Raw genomic sequence first — 15,286 nt, 5'->3', positions numbered from 1 at the left:
CTGCACTCCAGCAATCGGATTAATAAATTATTCATGAACAGATTTGACAGGATTATTAACAATTTTATATGCCGCTGCAAATAAAGCCAACTGCCATACACATTTTGTGCTACTCACCACATCTATGGGTCCCGTTTTAGTTGCTCTATAGAATCTGCATAAATACGTTTTTATTAAACAGCTACCTTAGTAAAGTACAGTTAGGAATGGCAAGATCTTTATTAGAAGTGAGTTACTGTTTAGGATGCTCATACCTTTAAAGATTCAAATACTGTATAAAGTTTAACTTCCTCTCTATTTCTACGAAGTTGGTTTAGAGAACAAGAATGATTCTTTAAAAAACCCGTGAAGCAAAGTAGATTAGGTATTTTTAATCAAAAGCACTTGAAAAGTTAAAAAATGCAAGTTCTTGAAGGGTGGAGGGAAGGGATGCGGAACAACAAAGATGTTTTAGTCTTCAGGAGCGATTATTTGCAACATTAGACCCAAAGTGAAACATTATTTTCTTTTTCTAACTTAGATGTCTGTTTTAAAAATTTTTGATGGATACAGTTGACATTTACCTTGGCACCAATACATAAAGTGTACCTCATTTCACAACAGGATGCAAATGGAGTAAGCATCAGTAACAGATTGAGTAACTACTCAGCCCTCCTTTGAAAGCTTTAAAAGGCACGTGCAGTGGCTCCTCACTCGGTGAGAATATAGTAGCAGTGAAGGATTTAAAAGTCTCCCTAGAGTCTTTATGAAACAAGCACCTATTAATCATGTTCATCTTTTCTTCCCATCACTCATCTTCCTAATTTGTTTCTCATTAGTAGTAAAATGTCAGTTGAAAAACTTCATGATACCTGATTACATAGAGAATAGTCAGGACAGAGTTGTGTAAATGTTCAACAATATTAACAACACCCAAGCTTATTATGTTTATTACACATGTATTTTATGACCTAGTGTAACGTTGATTATTAATACTCTAATAGAATTTGAGTTGATAACTCTAATACTCAATTTAGTGTCAAAAAAGAGAGTATTAATCATGGACATAGATTTTAAAATATTATTTTAAAAGAAAAATAAACACAAGTGGTTGTCAATTTGTGGGCATGAAAGTTAGGAAATTCAGAAGGATTGTTTCCATAATAGCTGTCATATTACTTTGTTGCCCATGTATAAGTACTTTCTCTTAGAATGTTTCCTCCTCTTAGGCCTAAGTATATTCATGTGTTAGGCCTAAGTGATGGGCACATTTTAAGCTCACAAAAATTTTCACCATAATGTGTTCTAATGCTAGAAAAACGGAATTTTCCTACTACAGGTATATTTATTTAAACTTCCTTTGAAGGAGGCACAGGATCGAGTGTTTCAAACGTGTGTCTTTGACAAGTCATTGAAATACATGGAAGTATGATCATCAAAAGGCATGACTACCCAGATGTAGACTCTCTTGGTTACAGCCATAAAGATCAATGCATTTTATGTTAGAAAAACTACATATGAACATATTCTGAAAGTATGAAAATACTGTTTAAAATTTTGCTTTACTCAAAACAGCATTGGAACTTTGACTAAACTTTAAAAAATTCTGCATGCTCAAAGCCAGTAAACTAAATTTGGCTTCCCAAAAGCCTTTTAAAAGAACAATTATGTGCAGCTGAAAACAACAAAATACAGATGCAACCATCTTCACATTAACAATATATCTTGCCTCCTAAACTGCAAATATTAGGTAGACAATGCTGATAAATTTATTTTTCTTTTTGAGAATCTAGAAATCATTTGAAGAACTAGAAGTTACCTTTTTAAACAATGTTTTAGAGTTTCAAGTACATTTGATATCCTTTGAACTGGTTAATATTTTTAGAAACAAATTTAATATTGGTCCCTTTATTGTGATTACAATTAAATAGGCTAGGGCTTTTACCGGATCTATGTGGTCAGCTTTTCCCACAGGCCTCATTGCTGCATTTGTTAGTGTTATGAATTACAATATTTTCTTTTTCAGATTGTATAAGTACTTTTGCTTTTGTGCAAATAACGCTGAAGGAAGATATTCCTTTAGATTGAAGAGCTCATGGAACTCCATGGGGAGAAAAAATAATAAGTTTAAGTGCCATCGAGACAAAGACTAGTTTTAACTGGCTTATATATTTATTATATATTCTAGTGGGGATCTGTTTTATCCCTGCCTGCTCATATGCTACAGAGAAGAAAGTTTAGAACACTTTAGAAACTACCTCTAAATAAGAAACCATTCTCTCTGTGTTCCCTAACACCGATGCTTTGATGGTTACTTTAAACTCTGAGATATTTGTTAATGAAAATAGTCTTTACTGTTTTAAAGCTATTTTAACCACAAATGGACAGTTGGAAGGAGTATTTAACTGAGTTATATATGACACTTGAGAGTATAAGTCAAAAACTGTTTCAGTGAAGTTTATAAAACCTGTCTATATTCTTTTATTAAATAACTTGGCAAGGCATAGTTTGTGACTTGGAATTTGAATGGTCAAGTTTTTGCACATTCATGATCACAGAGTTCAGTGGTCTCAAATTGCATCTTATATCACACTGTGAGACACCAAACTGAGTATTCAGAGGGGACAGTAAAGCTTTTATTTTCAATTTAAACATGTAATCCAATCCCTAATTATTTCTAAACAGTCATTGCTGCAATAATTGATATGGACAAATATAACCTTTTCTCACATTGTATAGTTTAATTTGCATATGTGGATTTAAAAATGTGTGAGGGAAATGAAATACAAATTACATTAAATAAACTGTAACCACAGGGTTTAAAATTAATGATACAGTGTTCTCTAAAACAGATAACTTACGCTTATGATTTGGCACAAGTGTTTTGTATTTTTCCCCTAAAACTTTTTTGAATAAATTTATATTAAATGGTAAATAGTACAATTTCTATTTAATATTGTCATCATTTAGTACCATTTTATGTTATTTATTTATTTATCTATTTATTTTAGTAGAGATGGGGGTTTTTCCATGTTGGCCAGGCTGCTCCCGAACTCCTGACCTCAGATGATCCGCCCACCTTGGCCTCCCAAAGTGCTGGGATTACAGGCGTGAGCCACTGCACCCGGCCGGTACCATTTTAAATATTTCATTTTCGTAAGTTTTATCTGGGAAATATAAAACATAAAACTTCAAAATATAAGAAAAATTAAATATTTTAAATCTAAGTTTTAAAAAGTCAAATTATCATGCTACTGAGAAATTGAGTTTATTATATAAGATCTCACAACATTTCCTGAAATTAGAAAACCGTAATTTTTTCTTTTTTTTTTTTTTTTTTTTTTTTGAGACAGAGTCTCACTCTGTCGCTTGGGTGCAGCAGCATGATCTCAGCTCACGCAACCTTCATCTCTTGGGTTCAAGCAATTCTCATGCCTCAGCCTCTCAAGTAGCTGGGATTACAGGTGTATGCAACCACACCCAGCTAATTTTTGTATTTTCAGTAGAGACAGGATTTTGCCATGTTGACCAGGCTGGTCTCAAACTCCTGACCTCAAGTAATCTGCACACCTTGGCCTAGAAAACCATAATTTTGTTAAACTTTGCAAATAAGAAACTCTGTAGTCAAAATCTTGGCAAGAAAATACTATTTAATTTCTAAAGTGAAATTTGGGAGCTGTCATCAGTGTTGTCATGCCATGATTTTGTTAGCTACTTGAGTGAGTATAAGATAATGGCAAAATTAAAGGAGCAGACCTAAGAATGAAATTATAACTTTAAATATCAAATCTTTGTATCTAACCAGTCCACAGTTTTAAAAGGATTTCGTGGATATTAGAAAAGTCATGTCTACTCTTTAGGACTTCAGCGTAGCATGTTGAAACGTATTTTAGGAAGTTTGATCCCTTATTTTTAAGCAAAGCAGTTAATGTCACATGGGGAATATCTGAGTTGTAAAGACCAAAATTGTGAAGTCTTCATCTAAGAAGAAATGAGAAATCGATTTGTAAAAAAGAAATGAAAATAAACAAATGTAATTTGGCAAAAGATGAAGGCAAATTTTAAGTTAAAGGAAGGAAGTTAGGAAGAAATGAAAGAAAGCAGTCATACTCCATGTAACATTTAATGAGAAAAGAACAGGTTGCATTATGTGTCTTAGAATTTCTCTGCACAGACAAATAAAAAATAATTTTCCTTTAAATTCCGTAAGTGATTTAAATGATTCACTTATCTTTTGTATGGATTATAAAAAGCAAGTTCAATTCTTAAATCACATAATTTCTATCTTCACCAGTTAATTTATATGAAAATTAGGAACTGGCCAATCACCTAATAAATTCCATCAAATAGACCATTTAGATAATAAGCACAGTTACCTCCTCAACAGCAGGTTGATTTTTTTTTCTGTACTAAAATTATAAACGTCACCACTTCAGTTTCCTATATCATTGATCTGGTATCAGCCAGGATGGCCCATGGCTTAGCTGTAGGAGGGTAAAGTGAAGAAGAGACATGAAACAAGTTTACATTGATGACTGTATCTAATTCTTCCATGTGTACACAGACAGTCCTTTAAATTGTTTTATATCTTTAAAAAGAGGGAGGGAAGGAGGGAAGAAGAGAGAGAAAGGGGGGAAAGAGGAAGAGGAAGGAAGAGAGAAAGGACCTGAGAAGTGTCACAGAAAGCTTATTTAGTGTTTATTTTCTGTGACACAATCCAAGATTCTTTTAGCTACAATGAATTCAACTAAGCTTCATTAGTAAGGCTTGGAAAAGACTGAAAGATCATCTGTTTTGTCCAGAATCTAATCAGTTTCAAGATGTCCTACATTTAGACTACAACAGCAGAGAATGTCTAACAGAGTCTCTTCGTTTTTTAGGTCTGGATTTGGAATCTCTGTGTTTTTTCATACCTTAGAAATTGGAGTTTGGGTTGGTTTCACGAATTCCAGCAAAAAATGGAACAAATGGGCCTATGCTGTGGGATATTATTGTTGAAAGCCAGTAACTTTTTCAAGTTTGTATTTTGAGAACATGCTTTTTACATGTTAAAATGTGTACAAATAAGTATATTTTGTTTAAGGAACTATAATTTTACAAACAAAAATGAAAACAAAAATAAAGGTTTTTGTAGATTAAAACCAAAGTAACAGTATAATTGCTTATAAACTGAAAAATGTAACTATATTCACTTGTCAAATGAAGCATTTTAGAATGGAAGTTAGTATATAAGAAGGGATGATTTGCATTAAATACATTATAAACAGTTAAGGAGACTTTACAGCTAAAGTACTTTTAACTCATTTAAAGTAAGCATTTAAACCAAAATTAATATTTCAAAAGAGCTTACATGGCAATGAAAGCCTAGATAAGTGTTTTAATATTTTTAATTGTGTACAATATTTAAAATGATACTGGTTAAGAATTTAACATTTTGGGCCGGGCGCGGTGGCTCACGCTTGTAATCCCAGCACTTTGGGAGGCCGAGGTGGGTGGATCATGAGGTCAGGAGATCGAGGCCATCCTGGCCAACATGGTGAAACGCTGTCTCTACCAAAAATACAAAAATTAGCCAGGCGTGGTGGCATGCATCTGTAATCCAGCTACTAGGGAGGCTGAGGCAGGAGAATTGCTTGAACCTGGGAGTCGGAGGTTGAGTGAGCCAAGATCGTGCCATTGCACTCCAGCCTGGCAACAGAGTGAGACTCTGTCTCAAAAAAAAAGAATTTAACTTTTCTATTATGGTTGTTATATTCAACAGAATACTGATTTTATCCCCCTTTTCAAATTAAATATAGACTTGAAGCCATTTTATGGATAAGTCAGTCTAAAAACTACATTTTTAAAAATCCTAGTAGAATAATTGTGTTCAGCTTTTTCACATTTGTTACATAGCTAGAACTATTCAGAAAATACTTTGAATTGTTTATACGTAGCTGATTTTTACACCGTGGTGAATGTTTAGAAAGTAGTTTTACAGAGTTTTGAGAAAACAAGCACCTAAAAAAATAGATTAAACTTTTCCACTGTGTTTCTTCCCATATACTCAGTTTTTCCCTGAACTTTTGTTTCATTGTTTTATTAAGGTTAAAACATAAATGTTTTTCTAACTCTCTCAAATGTTATTTTCAAAATTAATTTTCTTTGTGTAAGCATTTTAATCTATATTTTATGAAAGGGGATGGGGAGGCAAGTTTTATAAAATCTTTTTAATGTAACAAAACACCAAGAAAATAATGACTAGCAACAGGTGAAAGGGAGAATTGTATTTATATAGTCAGTTTAGTCCATGTAATTAGAAACTTGGACCTGAATTACTGGCGTAATTACTCAACTTTCTTTTCTTTTTTTCTTTTTTCTTTTTTTTTAATGCTAACAGAAATAGGCCGGATCATTTAGAGCAGCAGTATTCTAAATCAAAATTAATCAGATAATTGGCAACTTTTATTTGACTTTTAGTGCTCTATAAATTACAGACCAAAAACAGGAGAAATTTGCTAAAGAATAACAATGTAGATGGAAATATGTGGGTAAACAAGGCCCTAAGAAAACTGAATTTTCAAATGGTTTTCTTAGAATTTGAAAATGAAAGAAAATTTTAAATTAGGCCTAGCTGTGATATATAGGTGAGTAGTTGATAGATCTATAAGAAAACTTTTATTTTTGCTTAAACAATAATTAAAATGTTTATGAATTGAAATAAAAAATAGTTTTATAAGACCAAAAGTATCAATAAAGACATACATATTTTGTTTTATAAGTTTCAATAGCAATATACATTCTTCTTTATAAAGAACTTTCAACAGTGTATACTGGAAATGTTGGAAAAAAATTGATTTTGCACTTGTCAATTATAATAGAAGGAAAATAATATTCTTACATATGTTTTTATATACTTTTGAAAGTTGCCTTAAATTATTTTTGTAGCAAGATGAACATAAATAAAAATATAAAATACAGATGTTTAGAAGTCAGTTTAACCAATAATTAAAGTGCTTCTAGAAACCTAAAAGAGTGTTTTCAAACGAATACTTTTAAATTAATTTTAATTTCATTTTGGTTTTATTCTATTTCTAAAAGTTGCTATGATCAATATTTGTCTGTTTGTAGAAACTATGACATCTATGATGACAAATGTTCAAACTGAGTCATAATGATAGTCTGTTAGGTTAAAATCAAGAGTCACTACAGGAGAGTAGTCATTTTGCAAACATCCTGCCGTGTTAACAGGGGTTGGGGGAAAGCATATGTCATAAAGTAACAGACTTAAATCTTTAGCTAAGTAAGCTTTAAGTATCTGTCCATTGCTATAAATAGTATAAAGACAATCTAACTGTGTTTGCTTAAGCTTTTTATCTTAGCTTTCTTTTATGGTATTAAAGTTTAAGAAAAGTATAAAGATAAAAACTTGGCTAGATTTAAACATATTCAATATGATTCCTAAGATGGTTTTTTAAAAAAAAAAAAACTTTACATAGAAATGTCATCAGGTTCTTAGGCATAGTTATATGTTAGCCAAAAATTTTAAATCATTCCAGCTAAATATAATAATAGGAGAGTAGCCAGTACTTCTCTGAGTATTATAAGAATATTGCGCCATTCTTTGAATAAAAATAGTCATTCTTTTTTCTTTAAGATATCTCAATAATTATATGAATGATAATTTTGGAAAATATAAGGGTTTAAGTGGCAAATTTAAGTATCAGTGTTTATCTTTTGTTTCAAGTGGAATATCAGTTTTTCTAAAAACATACTCATTTGTAACAAGATTTATTGAAAAGAAATATCAAAAAACTCTTTTTTGGGGAGCATTTATCCAGTAATGTATTCAATTTTATTTAATAGGGAGATTTTAATAACTTTGCTTAACAAGCTGTTTTTTATCTTAATAACTGTAAGGATTGCTATAAAGTTATATAAATAAGTTATAATACCTTCTTAAAGTATACTGAAGTTGATAGGATTTTTAATATGGGTTATAAAAAAAGCACCATAGGTTGTAACTTCTTTACTTTTTTACTTTACTGTTCTCATAGAGAGTCCTTTATTAGACAAGTACCTGGTACTTAATAGATAGTCAAGAATATTTGTTCAATGAATGAAGGCAGTATAGTGCATGGAGTACAGAAAACGGGGCTCATGCCAGTATCCCACTTGCTTCCAGTTCTATGACCTTGGACTAAAGACTTATTTTCTCTAAGTCTAATTTTCCTAAAGTGTACAGTGGAAATAATAATAGCATCTCTTTCACATGGCTCTTGAAAAGTATTAAGACCTAAGGCACATGCACCATTATTGGTATTTATTTGGTAATTTTAACCAAATTGTGTAATTCTATAATTGTGAGGTTTTACTGGTGCAGGTGCGCATGCGATGTAACCATTTGAGGACCCCAAGCACATAAGCCCCTATTTAGAAAATGAAAACGAAAACCTTCTGGGTGCTGCCTGGCACTTCTTCACTATCAGGAACTGTAAAGTGAACCTTACAGAGCTCTTTTAATAACAGCAGTCATATGATGCCCTCAAAGGCCTTGATGACAATAATTCTCTTATCTTCTCACCTCCTGATCCCTCAAGAATCTTAGAGCCCACCAATGTTCATTATGGTCAGCCTGCTTGTAAACATCTCTCTCTTTAGAAGGCATAGTGGACCATTCCATTCCCTGTCTTTTCACTGGTTCTTCCTCCAGTTTTTCTTGAATCATTTCCTTTGGTAAGCAGCTCTTTAGAAAATCTCAGGGAGCAAAATCGAGATGTCTTCGTATTTTTCTCTGGCACATCCTTCGTCTGGGTTCAGGGAGTTGCTGTCTCACACTCTAGTCTGAGTGATCCATAACTTGTGGTACTTTTGACTCTGCTTGAAACATCTATCTACAAAGAGCCCAAAGTCCATAAGGCATTGAGAAGACTGGCCAAATTGAAAAAAAACAGTAAGAACCCTCATTTACCATGGAATGGAGGACACATGATTTGGAATGTAGAGGTTTAAATTCTACAACTCCAAAATATCGAACAGTTCAATGAGTTCTGGGAAAGGTATGCAGTTGTGTAACCGCGCTACACTCAAGATGTAGAGTGTCACCATAATCCCAGCGAACTTCCCTCTTCCCATTTGCAGTCATTATACTTGCCCTACCCCTGACCCCAGGAGACTACTGATCTACTTCATCTCACTGTAGTTTTGCCTTTTCCAGAACATCATACAAATGGAATCATGCAGTATGTAGTCTTTTGTGTCTGTTTTTTGTTTTGTTTTGTTTTGTTTTCTGAGACGAAGTTTCGCTCTTGTTGCCCAGGCTAGAGTGCAGTGGTGTGATCTTGGCTCACTGCAACCTCCGCCTCCTGGGTTCAAGTGATTCTCCTGCCTCAGCCTCCCAAGTAGCTGGGATTACAGGCATGTGCCACCACACCTGGCTAATTTTGTATATTTAGTAGAGACGGGATTTCTCCATGTGGGTCAGGCTGGTCTCGAACTCCCGACCTCAGGTGATCTGCCCGCCTCGGCTTCCCAAAGTACTGGGATTACAGGCAAGAGCCACCACACTCAGCTGGTTTTTTACCTAGCATAACATTTTTGAGATTCTCCCTGTTGATATATCAGCAATTCATTTCTTCTTATTGCTGAATAGTATTCCATTGTAGGGACATACCAGTTTGTTTTTCCATTCACCAGTTGATGGACATATGGATTGTTTCCAGCTTTTTGGCAATTATGAATAAAGCCTCTATGAAGATTTCTGTGCTAGTTTTGTGTAGACATAATGTTTTTATTTCTCTTACATAAATTCCAAAGTGTGGGATTGCTGGGTTATATGATGTGTGTATGTTTAACTTTACAAGAAGCTGCCAAACTATTTTCCACAGTAGCTACATCGTATACATTCCCACCAGTATTGTATGGGACTTTCAGTTGCTTCACATCCTCTTTCTTATATGGTATTATCAGTTATTTTTATTTTAGACACTTTGATAGATATATAGTATGTTATTGTGGTTTTAATTTGCATTCCCGTAATGACTAATATGTTGAGCATCTTTTTATGTGCCTGTTTCTCATCCAAATATCTTCACTAATTGTCTATTCAAATATTTTGTCAAGTTTTTAATTGGGTTGTTTTCTTATTACTGAGTTCTGAGAGTCCTTTATGTATTCTAGAGACTTGTCCTTTATCAGCTATGTGTTTGCAAATATTTTTGTAGATATTTCATGAATTGTCTTTTCATTTGAATGTCACTCAAAGAGCAGAAATTTTAAGTCCGACTATTTTTTTTTAATGAATCGTGCTTTTGGTATTGTATTTAAAAATATCATTCCCTAACCAATGTCACAAAGATTTTCTCCTATGTTTTCTTCTAGAAGTTTTATGTTTCACACTTTAGATTTATTTTAAGTCAATTTTTATGTATGGTGTGAAATATGAGTTGTTATTCTGTGTGTTTGCATATGGATGTTCAATTATTTTGCCCTATTTTTTGAAAAGACTATCTCATCTCTACTGAATTACCTTTGTACTTTTTTCAAATTTCAACTGACCATATGTTGTGGGTCTATTTCTGGATCTTCTATTCTGTTTCATTTATCTATTCATCAGTCCTTTTGCCAATACCACGCAGTGTTGATTATGGTAGATTTATAGTAAGTCTTAAAATTAGATAATGTGAATCTTCTTTGTACTTCTTTTTCAAAGTTGTTTTGGCAATTCCATTTTGTTTGCTTTTCCACATAAATTTTAGAATCATCTTGTTGATTTTTTTTTTTTTGAGATGGTCTCACTCTCACCCAGACTGGCTCACACAACCTCTGCCTCCCAGGCTCAAGCAATTCTCCTGCCTCAGCCTCCCAAGTATCTTGGATTACAGGTGTGCACCACTACTGCCTGGATAATTTTTATATTTTTAGTATAGATGTGGTTTCACCATGTTGGTCAGGCTGGTCTTGAACTCCTGACCTCAAATGATCCACCTCCCTTGGCCTCCCAAAGTGCCGGGGTTATAGCCGTGAGCCACTATGCCTGGCCCCATCTTGTTGGTTTCTACCAAAAAAAGCCTAGTGGGATTTTTATTGGAATCACATTTAATCTATAAATCATTTTGGAGGTGAAATGACAACACTATTGAGTCTTCCGATATGTAAACATGGTATATTTCCACTTTTATTTACATCTTCTTTGATTTCTCTCTTCAATGTTTTATAGTTGAGCATGCAGATTTCATATTTTGTTAGATGCATACCTAAATATTTTATGCTTTTTGGTGCTATTTGAAATGATACTTTAAATTTTTTCATTTTAAAATTTCTTCATTACAAGTATATACAAATACAATTGATTTTGTCTGTTGACCTTATATCCTATGACCTCACTAAAACTCACTTATTAGTTCCACTAGCTTTTTTATAGCTTCTTTGGGAATTTCTGTATAGACAATCATGTCTTCTGTGAATAGAGATAGTTTTATTTAATATTTTTTCCTTTTCAATCTGCATATCTTTGATTTATTTTTCATGCCTTATTGCACGGGCTATGGCTTCCAGTACGATGTTGAATAGGAAGGTGAAAGTGACATCCTTGCCTTGTTTCTCATCTTTAGGGAAAGCATTTGGTCTTTGAGCATTAAGTATGATATTAGTTATAGGTTTTTCATAAATGCCTTTTCTTAGGTTGAACAACATGGGAATATTCCTTATATTTCTGGTTTGCTGGTAGTGGTTTTCAAAATTATGAGTAAATGTTGAATTTTGTCAAAGCCCTATTCTTTATCTATTGAGATGATCATACATCTGTTGAAATGGTGAATTACTTTGATTGCTTTTTAAATTTTGAAACTAACTTACATTCCCAGGATAAAGCTCACTTGGTCTTGGTGTTTTATTCTTTTCATATATAGCTGGATGTGATATATATGTGTGAATATATATACATACACATATATGTAAAAACAAGGTTTCACCATGTTGCCCAGGCTGATCTTGGAACTCCTGGGCTCAAGCAATACACCTGCCTCAGCCTCCTAAAGTGCTGGGATTACAGGCATGAGCCACCGTGCCCGGCCTTGATTTGCTAATATTTTGTTGCAGTTTTGTGTGTGTGCGTTCATGAGGCAAATTGGTCTGTCACTTTCTTTTCTTCTCATGCCTTTGTCTGCTTTTGGTATCAGGGTAATGCTGACCTCTTTCCTCTTTTATTTCTGGAAGAGTTTGTGTACAATTGGTATTATTTTTTCTATAAATATTTAGTAGAATTCACCAGGGAGGTCATCTGAGCCTGCAGTTTTCTTTGTTACAAGGTCTTAGACTATGAATTTATTTTTGAAGTGAATATAGTACAATTCAGGTCATCTATTTTTTTTCTTGAGAGAACTGCCACTTGTCTTTTCATTTCTTTGATGGTGTCATTCAAAGAGCGAAAGATTTTACACTAGTCGTAGTACTTAATACAATAGACAATAGCAAACAATTGTAAGTTCTTAAGCAGCATAGTACAGTGAAACAGTAGTGTTCAGGAAGATGAGTAGGATTTAGACAGGATCAAAGAAGGAGACTGGAGTTAAGGAGACTATCAAGCAGATAGGGGTCAGGGCAGAGGTGAAGGTAGCAAAAAGGAGGAAAGTGAACCCTTGGAAGTCACTTTAAAGAAAGAATTGACAGGACTCAGTAACTGTCTGGAAGTAGGGGCACTCAAGAATGAACCTAAGATTCTTTGTGGAGAGATGGAAAGAATGGCAAAACTGCAGACATAGGTGGTTGGATGGAAAAGGTAGCCATTGTACAGGGCCGGGTCATGCTTCCTCTTGGGATATGTTGAGTGTTAAGTGAGTTGCTATGGGAATTGCTGGTGAAAATAGCATTAGAAGGGATGACAATAAGAGAGATTCCTGAATTAGCAAGGCCAGGGTGCCCCAGAAGGAAAAGAGAATCAGATAGGATTTCCATATGAGATATAGCGTGCCTAATTAAATTAGAATTTCCAATGAAAAATGAATGATTTTAAATAAGAATGTTCTAAATATTGTACTTGACATACTTATAATAAAAATTAATTCATTGTTTATCTTAAATTCCAATTTCATTAAGCATCCTATATTTTTATTGCTAATCCTGGCAACTCTAGGATCTGAGAACTGTGATTTCCTTGTGAATTGATCTCAAGAACCACAAAGAAAGAGAAAACATCATAAGAAGAGATCACAAAAGTTGCAGAGGAATTTAAAAATACCAATCAGCGTAGGTTGAGGACCAGGCTGTTGATGACAGAAGAGCACTAATACTATATAAATCATAGGCCTATTTTCAAGTTTGGGTCCATAAATACAAATGTTAGCCGCATTTGAGTTTCTCTCTGAATAATATTAAGAATCACTTATGACCCAAGGAACTGACAGACTAAACTTATTATTAAAACATATTTCAAGAAAATTAGATACTATTATTTTAGTTCAGTTTTTTAGAGACAGGGTCTAGCTCTGTCACCCAGACTGGAGCGCAGTGGCACCATCATGGCTCACTGCAGCTTCAAACTCCTGGGCTCAGGTGATCCTCCCACCTCATCCTTCCAAATAGCTGGGACTACAGGCACATGCCACTATATATGGCTCCTTTTCAAAATTTTTTATAGAGATGGGGTCATGCTATATTGGCCGGGCTGATCTCAAACTCCTGGCCTCAAGTGAGCCTCCTGTCTTGGCCTCCCAGAATACTAGGATTACAGATGTAAGCCACTACACCTGGCCTAATTTATTTTAAAAATAGCAAATTATTAATGATAATCTTATCAAGAGGGTAATTAGAAAAATTATAAAACTGGCATTAAAGGCTTTGAATTAATTTGAGATAAATAAATTGAGATAAATAATACACTACATACTAGGGAGCTATGCCTTAAGATATGCATCCTCTCAGCAACTCTGAGAATAAGTACTAATATGCCTTTTTCACAAATGAGAAAACTGAGGCTAAGAGGATTTTGTTTTCTTACTTCAAGTAACAGAATATGGTGGCTTCATATTGTGGCAGCTAAGCTAAGCTGAAACTATGTTTCCTGGAATTCCCTGAACTTGTATGGCTCCTGTTTAGAGTTGGCCACAAGAGCTTTCTGTGCATGATTTGGAATGCAGAAGCGAAGCAGCAGCCATTGCACGCAGAGCAATGTTGCTGGTCTCCTGGCTCGCTTTGTTGGCATGAGGCAGCGGCTGCAGTCACAGGTCCCTTCGCTCCCGCCCATCTTCGTCAGGTGCTCTCAATCCTGGGCCAGGTTAGGTGCAATGAGAGACAGTACAAAGCCACCATCCTGTGTTACTGCAAGCAGATGTTCTGGCTTTCCACCACTTTGTGTCCAGTTTTCCTTGCCAACAGCCCATCCTGCTTGTCATTTTCAGTGGCTTCAGGCCCTCCAGCAGAGGCAACATTGAGCCCCATATGGGCTCCAATCCATGCTCCCAGATTAGTGCTTTATCTGCTCCTCCAACTATCCCCTCCTTTGCTGACCTTTATTATCCTATCTCCCACAGTTGCACAAATGTAATCCCTATGATGAATCCTTTATTCCATATTACTCCTAAGAGTTCTGCTTCCTGGATTGAACTATTGACTGATAACCAGAGCAAGCAAATTGCTGAGCAGCTTCCCAAGCCCAGGTCTGTCTGGCTCCGAGGCTTATATCAGTCTTCCTCTTATACTGAAGAAAAACAATTAAGATTGATGCTTTTATGGCCCAGCGAGGTGGCTCACACCTGTAATCCCAGCACTTTTGAGAGGCTGATGCCAAAGGATCCCTTGACCCCAGGAGTTCAAGACTGGGCAACACAAGGAGACCCTGTCTCTACAAAAAATGAAAAGTTAACTGGTTGTGTTGGCACGTGCCTGTGGTCCCAGGTACTTGGGAGGCTAAGGTTGGAGGATGGCTTGAGTCCAGGAGGTTGAGACTGCAGTGAGCATGCCACTGTACTCTAGCCAGCCTGGGTGATAGAGTGAGACCATGTCTCAAAAATATATATATATATATATATATATATATATATATATAAAATATACATATTTATATGCGTATATAAATATATACGTATTTATATGCATATATAAATATATACGTATTTATATGTGTGTATAAAATATGTACATATTTATATGTGTGTATATAAATATGTACATATTTATGTGTGTGTATATAAATATGTACATATTTATGTGTGTGTATATAAATATGTACATATTTATGTGTGTGTATATAAATATGTACATATTTATGTGTGTGTATATAAATATGTACATATTTATGTGTGTGTATATAAATATGTACATATTTATATGT

This window comes from Homo sapiens, chromosome 10 (genome assembly GCF_000001405.40).
Source record: "Homo sapiens chromosome 10, GRCh38.p14 Primary Assembly".
Lineage (NCBI taxonomy): Eukaryota > Metazoa > Chordata > Mammalia > Primates > Hominidae > Homo > Homo sapiens.
The sequence above is the reverse complement of the archived record's forward strand: the minus strand, read 5'-3'. Positions refer to the sequence as shown.